The following is a 20,503-nucleotide window of genomic DNA, read 5'->3' on the forward strand; positions in this document are numbered from 1 at the left end:
TTCAATGATGCTACTATTTCCTCAAAAGACACTTAAAACTCCTCTTTGAGATATACCTTCAAGCATTTGATGAGATTTTTAAGGTCCTTGGAAATGGTAAATATTTTTCTCTTGAAAGGAAGTTTGGTTTTCTTGAAATCACCAAAATTCACTAGGCAAACTTCAAATATAAGTAATGGAAAAAAGGATTTTTTACATGACTTAAGAAAATACGATTCTTAAATCATGAGGCTTTTTTCTTGTGTGACTCATGAGTTGCTCTGCAATTATCTACTTAACCACAATAAAATTAAAAAGTAACTAGAATGCCCAATGTGTAACATCTTTACATACTTTTTAATCTATTATGGGCTAGAATAAAAGTGACTGGGGAATGTCTTTTTGCACTTCTTCCCATCCCAGCCTTCATGTTACCAGGCATAGTATTATGGGAACAATAGCAGTCACCTCTGTACTCTGCCAACCAGAAACCCCTGTGGAGGTTGTTAGTGTTGATTCATTTGGTTTTTGGTGATTGGCATATATGGCCATAGCTCACCAAAGCTGTTTAATCCCAAAAATTTACCAAAATCACCTGAGGATTCTCTTCTTTTTTTTTTTTTTTTTAAGACAGAGTCTTGCTCTGTCATCCACGTTGGAATGCAGCAGTGCAATCTCGGCTCACTGCAATCTCCGCCTCCAGGGTTCAAGCGATTATCCTGACTCAGCCTCCCAAGTAGCTGGAATTACAGGTGCCCAACACCATGCCCAGTTAATTTGTGTATCTTTAGTAGAGATAGGGTTTCACCACATTGGGCAGGCTGGTTTCTAACTCCTGACCTCAAGTGATCCACCCGCCTCAGCCTCCCAAAGTGCTGGGATTACAGGCATAAGCCACCACGCCTGGCCAGGATTCTCTTCTTACAGCTGCAACAAAGAGACGGTAAGATGTGCTTTAAGACATATGCCTTACGCTTCCTCCAACATACCTTGTTCTCTTACCACATACCTGCTTTGAATTCAGCTGGACAGTATAGCACAGGTGATCTTACTATATGTAATGATGTTACAAAATGATATTACAGTCTTGATGTTCCATTAGGCTTTTCTGAACACTTGGTTCTGCTTAGGGAGTCAGATAAATGTTCATATCCAATTTCCTTATCCTGTATCCATATCCCATACTTTCTCTTCTGCAAAGTAAAAAGTTTTCATTCTCCCAATCCATATGAGTCCAAAACTACTAGACACTGAAGCATAGAAGTGGAATTTTCAATAAAGCCTTTATCAGTGTGGTAAACGTCCTATCTTAGGCTTTGTACCAAGAAAAGTTTCTTTAAGAATATTACCTGGAACTAGAGGAATAAAGTTGAATGTGAGGAAGGGACTGAAGTTGAATGTAGATGAAATGAAAATATAAATTTCACAGCCTAGACCCAGTGAAAGCAAGTACCAAGTAAGGGAATAAAAGAGACAAAACAGGAATGAGTGCAAAACCCGGAGTCCAAGGACTAACGCAAAATGGAACTCAATAGATGCTGAACACATAAGACCAGAGAATGAGTAAATGCTCATACCCAAAGGGTCATGCAAATTCCACATTGTTCTGATATGATTGGGCTTCTTCTGTGCCTAGACAAAGCACAACCGAAGGAAGGAAGGAAGGAAGGAAGGAAGGAAGGGAGGGAGGGAGGGAGGGAGGGAGGGAGGGAGGGAGGGAGGGAAGGAAGGAGGGAGGAAGGGAAGAAAGGGAGGAGGGGAGGGAAGGAAAAGAAAGAGAAGAGAGGAGAAAGGAAGGAGGGAGTGGGGGTGGGGCAGAGAGATTATGAAGGAAATCTTGGTTTCAAAGTATTTTCCTCTATTAAAAAGAACCAAGGCTTTTTGGAGAAAGGGCTCACAGGATGAGAACAAGGAAATTATGAGTCTAGTACATCTTTTTGTACTAGAAAGTAAGGAAGTGCTCAAAAATCACAGGATCATATCAAAAGGACATGTAAGCCAGCTTGAAGGGGCTCTTAATGACTAAATCTGAAATAATTTGAGCCTTAAAAATAAATTAATAGTCATGGGATATAACCTTTTTAATAAAATAATAATCCATTATTTCATCCTGATATAGAAAGAATTAATGATTAAATGGGGGAGAAGGGAAAGTTCTTCCTTCCAGAATTCCAACTAATAAATATAGAAGAAATGATGGAGTTATAAAATCATTGAGGGATTCTGCAACTAGTGGTAAAAAATAGGACAAAGAATGTGGCATTGTATAGCCTTATAGTATCTCCCCACCAATTAGAACAAAATGGGCCAGGCATGGTGGCTTACGCCTGTAATCTCTTTGGGAGGCGAACGCAGGAGATAGGAGCAACAGTTGAGCCCAAGAGTTTGAGAACAACCTGGGCAATATAGTGAGACCTCATCTCTGCAAAAAATAAAAAGGTACTTATAAAATTATTTTTTAAAATAGTACAAACTGGCACGGGGAGCCTCCTGTTATCAAATACCAAGAAGAACATAGCATAATTTCTGTAATATTCCTGCCCAAAATGCGTAAGTTGAATCTAATCATAAGGAAACATCAGACAAATGCAAATTATAAGACGTTCTACTACATACTTGACTTGAAATCTTCAAAAATGTCAAGGTAAGAAAAGAAAAGCTTATGAACTATTGCAGATTAAAGGAAACTAAACAGGCATGACAATTAAATGCAACGGGTAATGTAACTTAGATCTTGGACTGAGGAAATACAACTATAAAAGACATTATGGAGACAACTGCTGAAATGAGTTTGGACTGCTCATTAGATAATAATATTGTAGCAATGTTAAATTTCCTGATTTTGATAACTGCACTATTTATATAAGAGAATATTCTTGGTTTTAGAAAATGTGTAAGTATTTAGTGATCAATGTGCCTAATGCCCCCAACTATTCTCAAATGAGTGAATGGCATCAGGCACTTCATTAATAAGATGCATGCAAAGCTGGGCATGGTGGCTAATACCTGTAATTCCAACACTTTGGGACGCCGAAGTGGGAAGATTGGTTGAAGCCAGGAGTTTAAGACCAGCCTGGTCAACATGATGAGAACCCGTATCTACAAAAATAAAAATAAACTGATATGCATATATATGTATATATGTGTATATGTGTGTATAGAGATACAGAGATATATAGAGACATGCATATATAGAAAATAATAAATAGAGTGAAATGTAAACAATTGGTGAATCTGGGTAAAGTGACTACTATTCTTATAACTTTTCTGTATATTTGAAATTACATTGAAATACACCACTTTGAAAAATGGTAAGGTGACTAGGAGGTGTTAGTGATAAGTATGGAACTGAGAAATATCCAGTAACATTTGTAAAAAAAAAAAATCTACAGGAAAGAGACTCGAAGAGGAATGAAGTATACAGTGCAGAATGGCATGGAAGAGGTAGAAGATCAGATCATTAGGGCATATGTGAGGTAGTATAATTACTTGGAGATAAAAGCACAAGCTCTGAAGTCAAACAAAATGGCCCTGGCTCTGCTACTTACTAAATGTGTGACCTTATGCAAGTTACTTAACTTCTCTAAACCTCACCTTCTTCACCTATAAAATTTACATGTGTAAGTACTCCATGTGGTTGAACAGTTATATAAAACATAGTAAATGGTAGCTATGATATTCTTTGATTAACATATCTTCCAACAATACTGTGTACCAGGCAGTCTCATTAAATGTTGAATACCTGAACATAGAATATGCTCAGCCAGGAGTCACTTCTTCCATAAGAGTCAAGGGTGCAGACACTTGAATCAATAAAGCAGAATTAATACTTGACAAGGAGGCAGAAATTGTTATTTACAAGTTTTTAAAAAGCTGATTCAAATGGAAATTGTAACAGAGATGCAATAAGATGTGCATGAAGGAACACAGTATTTTTGTGGCCCAAATAAGGTCTTTAAAAATACGACCTCTAAAATGAATTTTAATTCAAAATATCTCCTTGATGAATAAATGTGCTACTTCAAGTTGCTCAAAAAGCAGGCACTAAATAAACTCAAGATATTGTTAATGCAAATCAGCTACCTTTTATCTTACACTTATAGCACTTATACTCCCAAACCACCAGGAGGTGTGTCTTATTCTATATCTAGGAGATAATTAACTTTCAATTTCACATCAATCATTCAAGATGTAGGAACGTTGTCAATTCTTTTTACCTCACAAAGATTTACCATGTAAATTCTACAAATCTTCAGAAGATAAGTAACTATATGTAATCTGTATGAGCCCAGTTTTAAGTTACATATTCTTTCATGCCTACCTCCCCACTAAAAAATTCCCAATATCTTCCAATCTGTGATTAAGTATTGGTATTGCTCATTGAAGACAGGAGAGAAGAAAGAAATTAGCATTTGCCATTTACCAGCCATGCATAAACTCCATGTGTTTAGTTGTACTTTGTAAATGTCATTCATTTTACTAACTTCTTTTGATCATCTTATGAGACATGTAGGTTACACCCATGTTAGAGATGGAGAAACTGAGACTGGTTCAAGGTCATCAGGCTGGACAATGGCAAGGCTATTACTGGAATTCACATTTGACACTTAAGCCTAAACCCTTTAATGCAACATGCTGCAACAGTATGCATAATAGAATGTTAGGGGTTAATTAAATAATATCAGTGCTAAAACAAGTATATTTTATTGTCAAACGCATGACTAGAATATCATTTAGAAAATTCTTCAGATCACCAGATGGAAAGAAAATCAAACCTAAGGAACTCTCAAAAACTTTCCAGGACCTGTTACCAAGGATATTTTAACTAATCTCAATAGCACAGTGCTTAGCTGAAGCTACTTGGTTGGTTTCCATCAGCAAAATCTCAAACAGAATGAGAGTTTGGACTCCAGGGATCTTTCCAGCTGATGAATGCCAAGGGAGACAAGAATGCTTATGCACAGAAGTAGCTATAGACTTTCAGTATAGTTAAGCCAGGAGACAAACATTAAAGAGGATGCTACAAATTGACTCTATTGGCCTCTCAGATTTGCTTTTTACATGCTGTGAACACAGAGTATTCAATAAATATTAGTTACGCAATAATATTGTAACAATTTTTTCCAGAGGATAAGAACTAACTTTAACAGAAAATAAGCAGCAGAAGAGAAAAAGATGGCAAAACAGCTATGAAATAATAGACTTTGGAGGAATCTTTGCTGTCAGGCACATAAGTATAGATTTACTTAATATTCTGTTTAATGGTGATTTTATGCAATTTTATAATCAGTCCAATTAAACAACTCATATAAGGAAAGAATAGCATTCAGTCTACAGGGAGACATTATCCATAGAGACACATGTTAAGTAGGAAAATAAACCTCTGTCTCTGACATGTAAAATACAACATCCCTCTCATCTCCTCAAATCGGATATATAAGGACTTTTATTACAACTTGCCAAAATGGCAAGATTGTTTTGTTTCGATTTTCTTTTTTTTTTTTTTTTTTCACTTAGTTCTTTCTTATTTTTTCCTTCTTTTGGACATACAGCTCTGAATCAGAAGACTGTAAAGAATTCTACTCATAAATACCAAAAGCTTAGTCCCCTCTTATGTATACCATGAAATGAAGGGTATTTTTTGGCAGATTAATAAATCTAATATCAACTATCACTTGAAAAAAGTATCACATTCCACTGCACCAAAAGGATGAATTTAAATGAAAGTCTGTAATTTCACCTGGAATTGGTCCAGTAAGTGACAGCTGATGGCTAATCTCAAAAAGAACATGCTTGTAAACACCTGTGTTCCAATTATCTGAAAATCAATTTTAGATTGTAGAAATTATTGAAAATATATTCCTATAAAATGTGTAATAAAATTTTATTATAATTATGATGTAATTTTATTATATATAATTATATTATTGTACAAAATGATACAATCATATTATAATTTATTGTAGTGTACAAATTATATTAATTATATAAAGTTAATTATCATATACATATCATTATAGTACAGATATAATCATTTCCATTATATTATTTTAAATTTTATGATCTACTGTGCTAGAAAATCTTATGAGAATGTACTGCTTAAATAAAATTGTAGAAAAATAAAACCAAGAGCCATTAAATATGTCACCTTTCTTTTTCCCCAACTTCCCCAATAACTAAAGAGTTAGCTTAAGAGAAAATATTATGCCCAAATACCAAAGTACAGATTAGAAAATATGCTACCCAATATACCTAAGGTATCATTAGCATACTTTTGTACTGGTTAAATAAAGTATACTGCCTTTTGTTCTAAAGTGATAGTGGAAAGCCAGCTTGTAGATGAATGGTTTTTATGTTGCAAGAACCATCCGATCAACTGCAGTCCCCAAGTACGACATGAAGCTTTGTAGTTCTCTCTTAGACTGCCTAATGTTGTATGATAATCTTGAGACCACTGGAAAGCCACACAGGACCCCATAGTCAAACCAGCAGGCCATTCTGCCTGTTTCCAGACAAGGAAAACTATGCTGATAGTTCCACTAACAGTCTTTGGAAAATAGTAATGTTTCTTCTTGCTTTATTGAAAAATACATCTATGAGCTTCTTCTCGTATTTTCTTCTTTCTCTTTTCATTCCATTCATTCTTTTCCTTTCCCTTTCCCTTTCCCTTTCATTCCCTTCCTGAACAATTCAGTCCCAAAGCCACTGGGTGAAGTAGAGCAAGGTCTACTCTGGTGGTGAAGGAGTTTGGAGAACAGAGCTACAGTGGTCCAGAGCAGAGTGTCAGAGTGGCCCAGGGCCTAATCAAGATGAGAAGGGTATTCAAGTATGGAGGCAGACCACAGCAGAGTTACAGAGCCTGACAGAATGAGGAAAGAGTCCTTGAAGACAGGTAGGCTAATATGGGCTGTTGGAACTAAAACAAGTTAAGGAAGGCCAAATAGGCTACATAATGTCTGAGCATGGAGTTAAAACCTGAGTAGTATGAGGAGGGCGCCCATGTGATGGGAAGGGACTGAAGTGCTTTGTCCTAGCTAAGTAGAGTGACGAGGTCTCCCATGCAGAGCAGTGACCTAGCAAGGGTTGTGAGAGCCTGAGTTTGGTGAGGAGGGTATCTGTGCTGGGGTGGCAGTAGCAATGGGAGACTGGTTACATACAGAAGGATGGGTCAAATAAGTAAATAAAATAAGGATAATTTGAATCTATCAGAAAAGAGAGTGAAAATATGGCAGTAGAGAAAACTACAATGAATTATATAGTGTTAGACTGGAACTGGAGTAATCAGTGTGAACTCATGGTTTTCAATAGAGATAGATAAATATAGATATTAATATAGATGTAAATTTGTCTGAGTTTAAACATACACAAAAGTGAAAATAACTTCACAGTGGGGAAGCCTGGAAAACACAACTTCAATTGTGTGCTCAGAGTGAACATCATAAGTAAATGCAGCAAATCTAATTACGTGCCACCTGATAGGATGCAATGAAAAGATCACAGCCTCACTTCTGTAATACTCCTATTTCAGAAATGTCAGTCACAAAAAAAGAAAAAAGTAAAAGCTGAGAGTCTGCCCCAGAATTAAGGAAATTAGAAAGACATGACAACTAAAGATGACATGTGATTCTGAACTAAATTCTTTGCTATAAAGCACATCTAACTGGGACATCTGTTAATTTCCCATTAATACCAATATTGGTAATATTGGTATTATTGGTATTAACAGGAAATTAACCAATGTCCCAATATGTTAATTTCCCATTAATACCAATATTCCCAATATTACCATCTGATTTTGATGGTAATATTGCAGTTATATAACAGATTGCTCTTGTTCCCAGGAGATACACTAATGTATTAGGAAGAAATGGAACAAGTTGGTCACTTAACACTCATATGGGTCAAGAGACTTTTTTAAGTGCTGTACTGTACTTTCACATTTGAGATTATTTCAAAAAAAATTTAATGCCCTAAAAATAAATTTTAAAAATTATTTCTAAAAAACAAAGAAAGAAAATTACATCTAGGTCATAGAAGATGTAAATTCTTTGTGGTTGTCTAGATGCAAACCCCTCACCCACTTTTCAACTTCAAGAGTCTATTTTTGTGTTAATAATAAAGGCCATTCATCAAACATACCATAGCAAGTTGAGCATTGTATGTACATTATCTCATTTACTATTCCCAATACTCCTATGAGATAGGTATTATTTTTATCCCTTTACGAAGGAAGAAACTCAGGAAGAGAGAGGTTGAGATGTTTGCCCAGTTTGCTTAATTTATAACTGGCAGAGCTGGGATAGGAACTAGGTATGTCTCACTCCAAAGCCTGTGGCCTTAACTATTACAAACTGACTCTTTATGTCTGGAGTAATTGTTAGATTTTCTTTGTTTTGCTCTGGGTTAACAGGGATTTTGTTTGTTCATCTTGCTTTTCTTGTCACCTAGGATGTTTTATGGACCATGACTCAGCAGTTCCAGCTCAAAGATTCTTTCTCCCTGAAGCCTCCTTCACCAAAAGTCATTTCTCCCTTCCTCCCCATTATTGCCTTTGCACTTTGCATTTATCTTGTGATTCTTATGACCCTGTGTCATTGGAATATATGTTTTATTTCCCTACATGTAAACTTTGCAAAGTTAAAGGCCAAGTCACACTCCATTCTTTATCTCACATAAGCAGTGGCTGTCAAATTTTATTGTGCACCAAAATCACCCAAAGAGCTTGTTAAAAAACAGATTACTGGGCTGTATCACCAGAGTTTCTGATTCAGTAGTCTAGGGTAGGGCCTAGAATTTACTTTTCTAATAAATTCCCATGCGATGCTGGTGTTGCTGGTCCAGGGACTGCACTTTGAAAAACATTTCAGTACTGTATAGAGCTTACCAGTCTCTTACCAAAGTAGCTAAATAGTGTTTTTTGATTTATAAAACTATAACACATACATTATCTTCTTTGCTATAATATGTCCAAATACAGATATAATATATGTATGCCATAGAATGCCTCATATTATATGGTAATAATAAATTGGTTGGTTCATCTTTCCCACCTTTTATTCATTCACTCATTTCTTCAACAAATATTTCTTAAGTATTGACTGTGTGCCTTGTACTGATAGAGCAGTGAATAAGACAGATTAGCCTCTGCTATGATAAAAACTAACAGTCTAGTAGAAAAAAAGAAGACTAAGCAAAATATGACAAATTTCCATACTTCACTTCCAATTATCTTCATGGGAAGAGATATTTGATAAATGGGAGCAACAAAACAAAATGTGTATTAGCACAATAACACATTAAAGTTATAATGGGTTAGGCAGAGAAAGGTTTGTTGGTGTTAAGAGACTTTTCACTCTAGAGTACCTGAAGCACTAAAACAATCTTCAAAGATGTAGAGACCTGAGAACATAATACTGCCCCTCCAACTCCTCAGGGATACAGTAAATGGAATCACTACAGGAAAAGCTAGAGTCTGGGGCAGGCAAAACAAACAAGGAGTAAAATTAGAAAGAAGCAGGAAAACCATAAAGGAGATACCCCTTATGCCCATCAGAGATGGACTCTCAGATGTTCATATGCTGTATGAATAGATAGATGGGAAAGAAAATTAGAATTCTGCAGAATCCTTGGGGATCCATGTACATTCATGTTGTCCAGAAGCAAAATTTTCTTTCTGGATATATGCAATAGTTTAATCAAGTTACTACTATAGTGTCAGTGAATATCAGGCCTAAAGAATATAGGGTATAATGAGAATACATGACAGAAAGCCTGTTCTAGGGAGTTTATTTCCCAAAGGAGGAAGAACATTCAACTGAGACAGAAGGATTAGTAGGCATTTTCAGGCATGGGAGTTTGAGGACAGGGAAGTGGAAGAGATGGAGAACGTGCAAGAACCTGAGAGAGGAGAAAGCATGACAAGGACCCTAAAAAAATTATTAGAGACTGGCCGCGGTGACTCACGCCTGTAATCCCAGCACTTTGGTAGGCAGAGGCGGGAGGATCACTTAAGGTCAAGAGCTCAAGACCATCCTGGCCAACAAGACGAAACCTCATCTCTACTAAAAATACAAAAATTAGCTGGGTGTGGTGGTGCATGCCTGTGATCCCAGCTGCTCAGCAGGCTAAGGTAGGAGACTTGCTTGAACCTGGGAGGCAGAGATTGTAGTGAGCCAAGATCACACCACTGCACTCCAACCTGGCTTACAGAACAAGACTCCATCTCAAAACAAAACAAAACGAAAAAAACAACTCATTAGAGAAGGACAAAGAGAATGGTATAAGATAAGGCTGGAGAGGCAGGCAGGTAGGTAGACTGATGTATTCTGAACTCGGTTTTTAGGACCTTGAAAGTATTGATCATGTCAGTAAATTTTATATCATTGTTGCCAGGAAGACTATATACGTTCTATAAAGGTGGAATGAGAGAATCAATGAATGGATGGATGTGTAAAGCAAATATATGGTACAAAAGACAGAGGCATAAAATTCAGATGGCATGATCTGGAAGCAAAGCGTTGAATGGACCAATGTAAAAAAGAAAAGGAGTCTGTGAGTCTCGATTATGCAGGGCTAGAACTGTGAGGGGGCTGAAAATCATCTTATCAATCTGCTTACTGTAGAAATGAAAAAACTAAGGCTGGTGAACTAAGGTGGCTTCTCCAAGAACACAAAGCCAGTAGTGGCTGAACCAGGACTTGAATCTCCTGGTTCCCAAACCAAGAAGCTTTCCACTACAGTCATAGCTCGTTCTGGACCTAGAAGTATAAGAATAAGTCTCTAACGGTCACTATGCAGGCAGATGCCAAGCACATCAGAACCTTATCCCTAACAGATGCATAACTAGCAGCTGCCACAATTTCTCTAGTTGAAAAAGTTTCTAGTTAGAACTTAGCTATGGATGATATAAGAAAAATACTTATCCCTCCCTGTCATAAAATTGATTCATTTAGAAAATGGCTATTCTCTCTGTGTTATTATTTCCTTTTCTACCTTTAGCCTGAGAGAATTAATACAAATAGTATAGTAGCAACACTCAGCACAAAATTATCTTAAGAGCACATGAGGTCAGACTGTCATGGGAAGAAATCTCTCTAAGCAGCTGCATAACTACCTATAATTCACAGGAAGGTAGACTCAATAGGATTCTGGAAGGCTGACCGCACATTCTGTTCCTCTTTAGGTAACTACAGTTTGTCAGAAACTTGGACAGACACTACTAACATATCACAAATAATGATTTTGCCCTGAGTGACTTTTGGTCTGTTATTTCCAACTTTCTTTCTCTCTGCTGATTAAGTTCACTAATAATACTACTACATAAAGAAATAACATATTTTACTCATTTAAACATCACATTTGTTATTAATCAAAGTATTACAATTTGGCTTTCTTTTTTCTATGCTTCTCATACTAGTCAGGCAAGGTGGTAGGTAAGAACTACACCATCATCTTTTAGGAAGTGTCAGAATGCCTGCTGGGCCTACATTCCCCTTCTGAAGGATTTCCTACAGATAAGCTATCCCAGACTGACTGGTGATTGCTGAGCACCTGACCTGAGACTAGTCAATTGCTAGATGGGCCAGTAGGTATGAAATGGCCTGGTATAAGAACTCTGCCTTACACAGGTGGTGATAGGCTAATCCAATTGGATACTCTCACTTGAAAAGTTAAAAAAAAAAAAAAAAAAACAGTCAGTTAGTTGATAATTTCAGAGGAATAGAAGCCAAAACAGAGAGCTGCACATTCAGCGTAATAGTAGAGATGAGATTTGGGAGAATGGCTGTTGAGGATATAGGAGAATAACCTGGTGGCTAATAACAACAGCAGCTACAACAATAACAAGAACAATCATAATAAAGGCTTACTTTTATTGAGCTCTTACTATATTCCAGACATGATAAAAAATTCAAATGCATTATTCTACCTAAACCTTGCAACTACCTATGAAGTGGGTTCTGTTATTATCTCCATTTCACAAATAGGAAAATTGAGACGGAGCAAAGTTAAGGAAGAGCACAGTCACTCCTTTAGTAAGTGATGGAACCAGGATTCTAACCCAGATTTGTTTGATTCCAGAACCCTGCTCTTAACCACTATCCTAAGTTAGAGCTTATTTTATGTTTAGAAGGACATTTTAGGCTTCATACAATGTTTAGATCTCTACCTTTTGTATTCCCACCTGAATTTGTACAGCAAACCCCCATTACTTAAGGAAAATTGAACACAAGGAAGGTGGTGCTCTGGAACTAAAATGTATGCTCAGGCTTGGTTTTGAAGTACACAGCTGAAAGTTATGTTTTCCAACCTTGGAATTGTTACCCTACCATATGTATCTTAATCATATCTCTGGCATCTTACTGTACATAGGTTTCATTATCACTCTTTGTTCATTTTGACCATGAGAAATGATGATAATAATAGCAGAGGGAGAAAAGAATATTAGAATATGGGAACATACATGTAAATATCTTGGTCCATGTAATTCAATAAATATTTATTAAGTGCTATTTATATGCAATGTACACATACCCATGTATGTTCCCCTTATTACCCAGGTTGATATAAAAGTCACAATGCAGCATAGCTATGTGTTGTGTTCATGTCTCCCAATCTCTATAATTTCTGTTACCATACTATCATGTATCAGAGTTGATACTAAGATCAGAAATTGTGTTTGTGTGTGTATGTCTGTGTGCGTATGCAGTATGGGGTGCTAGAAAGATTCAGAGATCTGAGTTCTAGTCCCAATTGCCATTAACTAGCTATCTGGCCTTATAAACTTCACATCAACTCTCTGACCCCAGTTCCCTCATTTGAAAGAAATGGATAATTGAACAAGAGGAAATCCAAGACCCTGTTAACTTTGAAGTTCTGCTATTTAGTTCTCATTTACTTTTATTTAAAAAGTGAAATTAAATGTCTCTCCTTGACCAGATAGAAGAAGGCATACCCTCTAAATGTGTACTGGTCAATTTCCAGGACGTAATGAAATGTTATACATGGTTTTCAAAAATATTTTTTGTGGAGGGTTTGAATCAGACCTTTTTGTCAAACAAAATCTTAGACAATCCCAAATACATAAGGCTAAAAGTAAATAAACAAAGCTGCTCTATTGAAGAAAGGAAGAGGAAGCCTTGTTGTTACACCTAGCAGATTCTGCTTGGGTTAGATCTGTGGAACCCTACATTTTCCAGGAACATAGCTTAAAAACTATGGCAAACCAGACAGCAGAGGTACATTAATCAAGTTAAATGTTATTGTTCATCCACTATGCATAGAGCAATATAAAAGGAAAGTAGAGAAGTAGAAAACATACCCTCTGCTTGCAAGGAGCCTGCAGTTTCCATGAAGAGATTGGGTAGAAACTTCAGAATTAATTTAAGAAAACCACAAAGCAAAGAAAAGCGGGGGCAAGAAAGGTAAATCCTAGGTTCTGAGAAAATGCACAGTAGAGACTAACTGAAGGTCCAAGAATTTTAATTAACAAAATTCAATATTTTTGAAAAAGAGATTATACAGGTTGAGCATCCCAAATCCCAAAATCTGAAATCTGAAATGCCCCCAAATCTGAAACTTTTTGAGTGCCAATATGATGCTCAAACTAAGTACTCATTAGAGCATTTCAGATTTCAGGTATTCAGATTTGGGATGATCAACTAATAAATATTTCAAAAATTAAAAAAATTGAAATCCAAAACACTTCTGGTTGAAAGCATTTCCGATAAACGATACTCAACCTGTAGTACAGAATACTTCTTGATTAAACAGAAAAGGGCAGTAAAGCTGTCAGGGGATCTGACAACATGGAAGTCATTGCTGACTTTAAGAACAGCAGCATCAGTAGAAAGTTGGAAATGGAAATGATTTGTCTGCTTATTTCCCCATAGTATTTATTCAATTATGTAAGCATTTTATTTCCATATTTTTAAATGTATTTATTGTCTGTCTTCTCCCTATTAGAACATACGCTCCATGAGGACAAGTATCTTTCCAGGTACATTCAACTCTATATTACCAGAGCCTAAAAATAGTGCCTGGAATTGTAGGTTCTCAGTAAATATTTGTTGAATGATTGAATGACCATGTATTGTGCTAGGTATTAGGGAATAGAGTAAGGGATTACAAAATGAATATGGCATGGTTTCTGGTTTTGAGAAGCTTACAATCTAATGAAAGACATATACTAATTCACAAGCAACTACATCACTGCTTCTCAAACTTGAATAAAGAGCGGTACTCTTTAAATGTCACAGGCTATTGATAAAGTTTGGCTGAAACTAAGCTGCTACTTTCCACATAAACGATACTGACTGTGGTAACTTGGCTTTAGATTGGTATAAAGCAGCGATTATAGATTAAGTCCACCTCTGTTCTCTTTACCATAGCCTGTGACATTTGAAGAGTACCACTTGTCACCAACGAAACAGTAAACACAAGCGCAACTACAGGCCTTCCGGGAAATCTGCAGCAGTGCTTAGTTGTAAAGTGGTTATCCAGAGAATCTGAAATAGGCTTTGGATTTCTTTCTTTCCTATTTATTTATTTATTTTTTTGAGACAGAGTCTCACTCTGTCGCACAGGCTGGAGTGCAGTGGCGCGATCTCGGCTCACTGCAAGCTCCGCCTCCCGGGTTTACTCCATTCTCCTGCCTCAGCCTCCCGAGTAGCTGGGACTACAGGTGCCCACCACCATGCCTGGCTAATTTTTTGTATTTTTAGTAGAGAATGGGGTTTCACCATGTTAGCCAGGATGGTCTGGATCTCCTGACCTCATGGTCCGCCCGCCTCGGCTTCCCAAAGTGCTGGGATTACAGGCGTGAGCCACGGCGCCTGGCTGGATTTCTTTCTTTTATACTGTGAAAGGAAAACACAAAAATGTTTGTAATGTCACAGAAAATGTGCAGCACTTAGTATATATCTAACTCCTCTCATAGACCAGCTCCTTTATTTTCATATGTTCCCGGATCACAAGTAGGCAATGTAGAGAGGAAAGAAGATACATTCCAGAATCCAACTTGGGTTTGAGTCCCAGCTCTGCCACCAACTAGCTGTGTAACTGTGGACAAGTTACTTAATTTCTATGAGATTCAATCTTCTCACATAAAATACAGAAAATACCCATCTTGTAAAATTATTGTAAGATTAAACTAAATTATATAGAGAATGATGCCTGACACATAATAGAAGTTCATTAAATGTCAGTTTACCTCCCCTTCTCCTGGTTTCAGCCTCATCTGCAAGTCTCTTCTATGCCACCACCATTTATGATACATTTATTTCACAAATATTTATTGAGTACTTTCTATGTACCTGCCACTGCTTTGTGTACTTTGGATACAGCAAAGAGAAAGGGCCTTTCTCTCACAGAGCTTACATTCTATAAAATGCCTGACCCAAGTAGGAGGAATGGAGATAAATGTTTGAGATGGGTATTAAAAATACATAGCTGGCAAATAAACCTAGTCTCAGGCTCTTGGCTTAGAGATTAACTACAACCTGTCCAGATTTACTTGCTGCTGCCAGGTGAATGGGGCCGAAGAGCCCTTCCAACCCTTTAGGAACTATTAGTGGAGATCTGACCACATGTATGTCAGTAGTTGAACCTTTTTTTTGAGACGGAGTCTTGCTCTGTGGCCCAGGCTGGAATGCAGTGGTACGATCTTGGCTCACTGCAAGCTCCACCTCCTGGGTTCAGGCCATTCTCCTGCCTCAGCCTCCCCTAAGTAGCTGGGACTACCAGCGCCCACCACCACGCCCGGCTAATTTTTTGTATTTTTAGTAGAGACGGGGTTTGACTGTGTGAGCCAGGATGGTCTCAATCTCCTGACCTCGTGATCCGCCCACCTTGGCCTCCCAAAGTGTTGGGATTATAGGCGTGAGCCACCACGCCTGGCCAGTTTAACCTTTTTTAATGTAACCTGGAAGACTGAAGACTCCCTAGCTCTAAATTCTATTAGTAAAGCAATGTTATGCTAATGAAAGTTGTGAATTTGGGAACTCATGACAAAGTCAATGTCATCTCAAGAAGAAATGCAAAGGCTGCAAGGAGGGGGGATGAAAAATACTGCAAGAAATAAGCAACAATTGAACTGAATAAACTATTGTAGGCAAAGACAGGTTGGCCATCCACACAGTATAACGAAAGAAGACGCTGACCTTGTCTTTAGGGCACAAGGCATGTGCTCCACAAACATTTGTTAAATGTATGAATGAATGCCTGTGACTGCAATCTGTCAAAACAACACCACCAAAAATGGAACGGAAGAAAACTGGAGGAAAAATTAAAAGTACATAAAACAGAAATCGAAGAAATAGAAGACTCAAGACAAGTAATAAAAGAAAGATTGTTAGAGATATATAATACATAACATAGTTTGACAGACTGTAAGCGGTGGGAAAAAAAGAGAAAAAGAACTAAAATTGCTGCCTAGATTCTAAGCATGTGAAAAAAAAATCCTCTTTTAGTTAGTGTAGAATTTAATTATGAAGATAACTACTTTATATGGAAATCTTTCTTCAAGCATTTTTTTAGCAGACGTTGGCTAGGTGACAGAGGAGAAGAGCCAAACTCATAATGAGGTCATTTTTCTCTAAACCACGATGATCCCTTTCCTCAATTTCACAGGAATGTTGAATCACCCCATAGTATAAAATAATTCCCAACACCAATGGGAAAGAGATGTTTCCTGGTCCTGCCACAGTACTGATCCACTTTCAAAACTGAAAATAGATTCTTTACTGACACTGATTTAGTTCCTTATCCATGTGCTATCTAGTCTGGTCTCTCTATTTAGGCACAGTTTCATTTGTGTTTAATTGGATGATAAAACCACTGATATATTAGACTTACAATGTTTTTTGACAGTTACAGGTGCTTATGTCAAAATAAAACAAGAGGCTGGGCGCGGTGGCTCATGCCTGTAATCCCAGCATTTTGGGAGGCCAAGACCGGCAGATCACTTGCAGTCAGGAGTTCAAGACCAGCCTGGCCAACATGGTGAAACTCCTTCTCTACTAAAAATACAAAAATTAGCTGGGTGTGGTGGCACATGCCTCTAATCCCAGCTACTCAGAGGCTGAGGCAGGAGAATCGCTTGATCCCAGGAGGCAGAGGTTGTAGTGAGCTGAGATCATGCCACTGCACTCCAGCCTGGGTGACAGAGCGAGACTCTGTCTCAAAAAATAAAATAAAATAAAATAAAATAAAATAAAATAAAATAAAACAAGAAAGAAAAGGTAACAACTCTTTTCAGAAAGCCAGTTTCTAATTTAAAGAAAAAATTAAGGGGAAAAAAGGAATTAAAAAAAAAAACTGACCCACAAAATATGCTAGTTATCCTATTTACCCCTTACCATCCATTCACTTTTCTTTTTCCTGCAATGTGCCCAGGATGCCGATTTCTACAGACTAAGTCACTAAGATTCTTTGCCTTTTGGCTTCTGGTTGGGATCAGCTAATGTGAGGCTCTGGCAGAAAACCAGAGAATAGGAGAAGAGAAGGTCAGGGTATTTTTTTGCCAGTGGTTGTGTTCTTCTCCCTAAGAGCAAAGCTCCTATCCAGCAACCCCTCTCTTGCAGCTGAAGCTCTTACCGAATCCTGGTCAAACTTCCTTTTGTCCTTTGGACCTAAGTGTAATGATGATGGCCAGATTTTTGTAGTTCCCCTTAACTATGAACACATCTGTCTAAATAACCCCTCTAATAAATTATCTTCAATTAAACTTTTGAGAGTGTGATTCCTTTCCTTCCACGACTCTAACTAATATGCAAAATTATTTAACTTTACTATATAAGCTTTACTAGCTAATAATAATGTTAGCTAGCATTTATTTAATATTCCTTATATGGCAGACTATAGAGAGTACTTTACATGACTTATTTCATCATTTAATCTTCACACACAAAATACTACTATTGTTATTATTTTCCCTATGGTGGGTAATATTATTATTCATTATTCAGACATTGACACCCATTCGCCTCACTTCCATGAGATGCATATACTTACTCCATTGATGTTGGCCTTGGTCCTGTGTCTTGCTTTGGCCTATAGAATAGGGAGAAAATAATGATATGCCAATCTGAGCCCAGGTCTTAGGAGGTTGTCCAGTCTCCTATATTTACCACCAACATAAAAAGGACATGCCCAAATTAGCTTCTCAGTCCCAGGAGAAGATTTAGAGACATGTACCAGAGCCACCTCAGTCAAATACAATACATATCAATCCACCTGCAAAAAAAATGTAACATGAGCACAGCCAAGACCTCCCAACCAATCTAAGTCCAGCTCAGATAATCCTGAGCCAACACACAGATCCATGAGTATAAAAGATTGCTATCTTAAGCCACTGAGTTTTGGGATGGCTTATTATGTAGCAATTTTACAGTAATAGCAAACTGATGAATTCCAATTTTATATATGGACCACAGACTCCATATAGGGGTTTTCTACCAAAAAAAAAAAAAAATTAGCATGAAGTCAATAAAAAGTCATTCTCCAGTAAAACCAAGTTATAAACCATTAAACTATTAATCTGCAAAAATTGTTTCTAATTGTTACTAAGAAAAGATTCCCAATAGGCATTTAAATGAAACATATAGTCATTACCACAAAAGACAAGGCCCTTCATAGCCTGCTTATGTCTTTATTCCCACAACCTGACATCCTCCCTGTCCCTGCCCATCACTAGAGACACACAAATTTACCTGAATTTGTTTGGGTATGCTGTGCAGTCTCTCAGCTCTGTTTCTTTACATGTACTGTTCTCTCCACCTGAAAATTTCTTCTACTTTTTATCCCTTAACTCACCTCTAGTATCATCTTACCCTGATTCCTGCAGGCTGAGTCTGGTGCCCTTGTTCTGTGTTTTGTGTTTGCCTCTGCTTATCTCTCCCATAGCCATTATGGCACTGTATTTTAACTATGAGTTCCTTGAGGGTCAGGATTTTGCTTTCTGTTTATCACCATATTCCTACTAATAACATGCTACCTGGTACATAGCAGTCTCTCAGATGCTGATACAATCATTTTAGAAAGCTATAAACCATCCAATTGGTTTGAAGGGAACACTGCATTGGTAACTGATAGGAAAAGTAATTGAGGAATTAAGAGTTTGTCAGTCTTAATTCAGCACTATCTAAAATGAAAGGTACTGATTCCTGGTTCTTGATACAAATCACCCTAGAATAGACAAAAATAATCCATCAAACTGCCTTAGCTTGAGGTATATATTCCTTGAGAATATCTAACACCCTTTGTCTAATTCTTTGCTCAGCATTCTTATGCTGGCAAAGTTGGTGTCCTGGGTGGACAAAATATTGGTCAGGAAGATAGAAGAAGAAAATAGTAAAGATAACCAATCCCTCATTCTGGAGCTAGCCACACTTCATAGAAATAGGTTAGCATGAGTCTGTTTTTGAAGTTAATCTCCATTGAATAAACTAAAAATAACTGCAGGATTTCCAAAGCTACGCCCCAATCCTGACTTATAAGAAGTCCCAACAAGGGACTGTCCCTTCACCCAAGAGGCCTGGCCTAAAACAACCAGCAGATGTCTTGGGCATCCCTTTCCCTACAGTACTCTGCAGTGGTAGCAACTGCTAAGGGGAAGAAAAACTAGAAAAATCAGACTGGTGGGATAGCAAACCCAGATGCTGTCCTCCCTGTTGCTAATGGTAACAGGATTAGACTAGATGGGGAACTGTAATTAGGCACTTGGCTTTTATATCTGACATGTTTACAGCCATCGTGCTATTCTGGGCTCTTATATAACATTTATATCTGATGCTATAATAGGCATTTTTGTGATCGTACTTTCTTCCTCTTCCATCTAAGTGACTACAACAAGCAAGCACTTCTTTCCTCTTCCAAGTTTGGACCTGAAATGCCCCACTCATATATGTATGCTCTGTAAATATCTGCTTTTTAGCCTTAACTTTTTAATAAACACAGATGCTTAATCTTGATTCTATGCTGTTATTTATTTGATTAATTTCTCTATTCATGTAGATCAGAGATTAGCAAACTATAGTCCATAGACAAACCTGCCCCCACAGTCTGTTTTCATATGGCTTATGAGCTAAGAATGATTTTTACATTTCTCAAATGTTATATAATACAAACAAACGTAAGCAAAGAAAAATGCAGCAAAGCCAATATATGACCCACAGCCTAAAATATTTGCTATTTGGCCCGTTACAGAAATGTTTACCAACTCTTCATCTATATCGATGTTGTCCATTACAGATGAAGCTAATTTATCTAGCATTTGATGATGATGGTGAGGATGAGAATTAATATTTGTAGGATGTTTACCATATGCCAGAAACTAAGCACTTGCCATTTATTATCTCAGTTAATCTTCACAAACATTCTTTGAGGCCAATGCTGTTATCAGCCTTATTTACAGATACAGAAAGTTTAAATAACTTGCCATGGTCACACCTATAGTAAGTGGTGAAGCCCAGATTTACATCCACACAATCCAGTTGAAGACTCCATCCTATAATACTTCCAAAAATCA

General features: G+C 37.3%; 1 protein-coding gene across 13 annotated transcripts in view; it reads right to left on the minus strand.

The window, feature by feature from the left end:
• The window catches only part of DLG2 (discs large MAGUK scaffold protein 2), a 2,173,362-nt gene that overhangs the window by 1,835,985 nt on the left and 316,874 nt on the right, over window positions 1-20,503 (minus strand). For 4 of the 13 annotated variants that reach the window (XM_047426494.1, XM_047426498.1, XM_047426496.1 and 1 more), the window contains one exon: window positions 17,989-18,027. The exons of the other annotated variants lie outside the window; for them this stretch is intronic. In XM_047426494.1, the coding sequence (XP_047282450.1) occupies window positions 17,989-18,027 (39 nt within the window). The remainder of the gene's footprint in view (window positions 1-17,988; window positions 18,028-20,503) is intronic. 13 annotated transcript variants of the gene reach the window in all.

Source organism: Homo sapiens, chromosome 11 (genome assembly GCF_000001405.40).
Source record: "Homo sapiens chromosome 11, GRCh38.p14 Primary Assembly".
Lineage (NCBI taxonomy): Eukaryota > Metazoa > Chordata > Mammalia > Primates > Hominidae > Homo > Homo sapiens.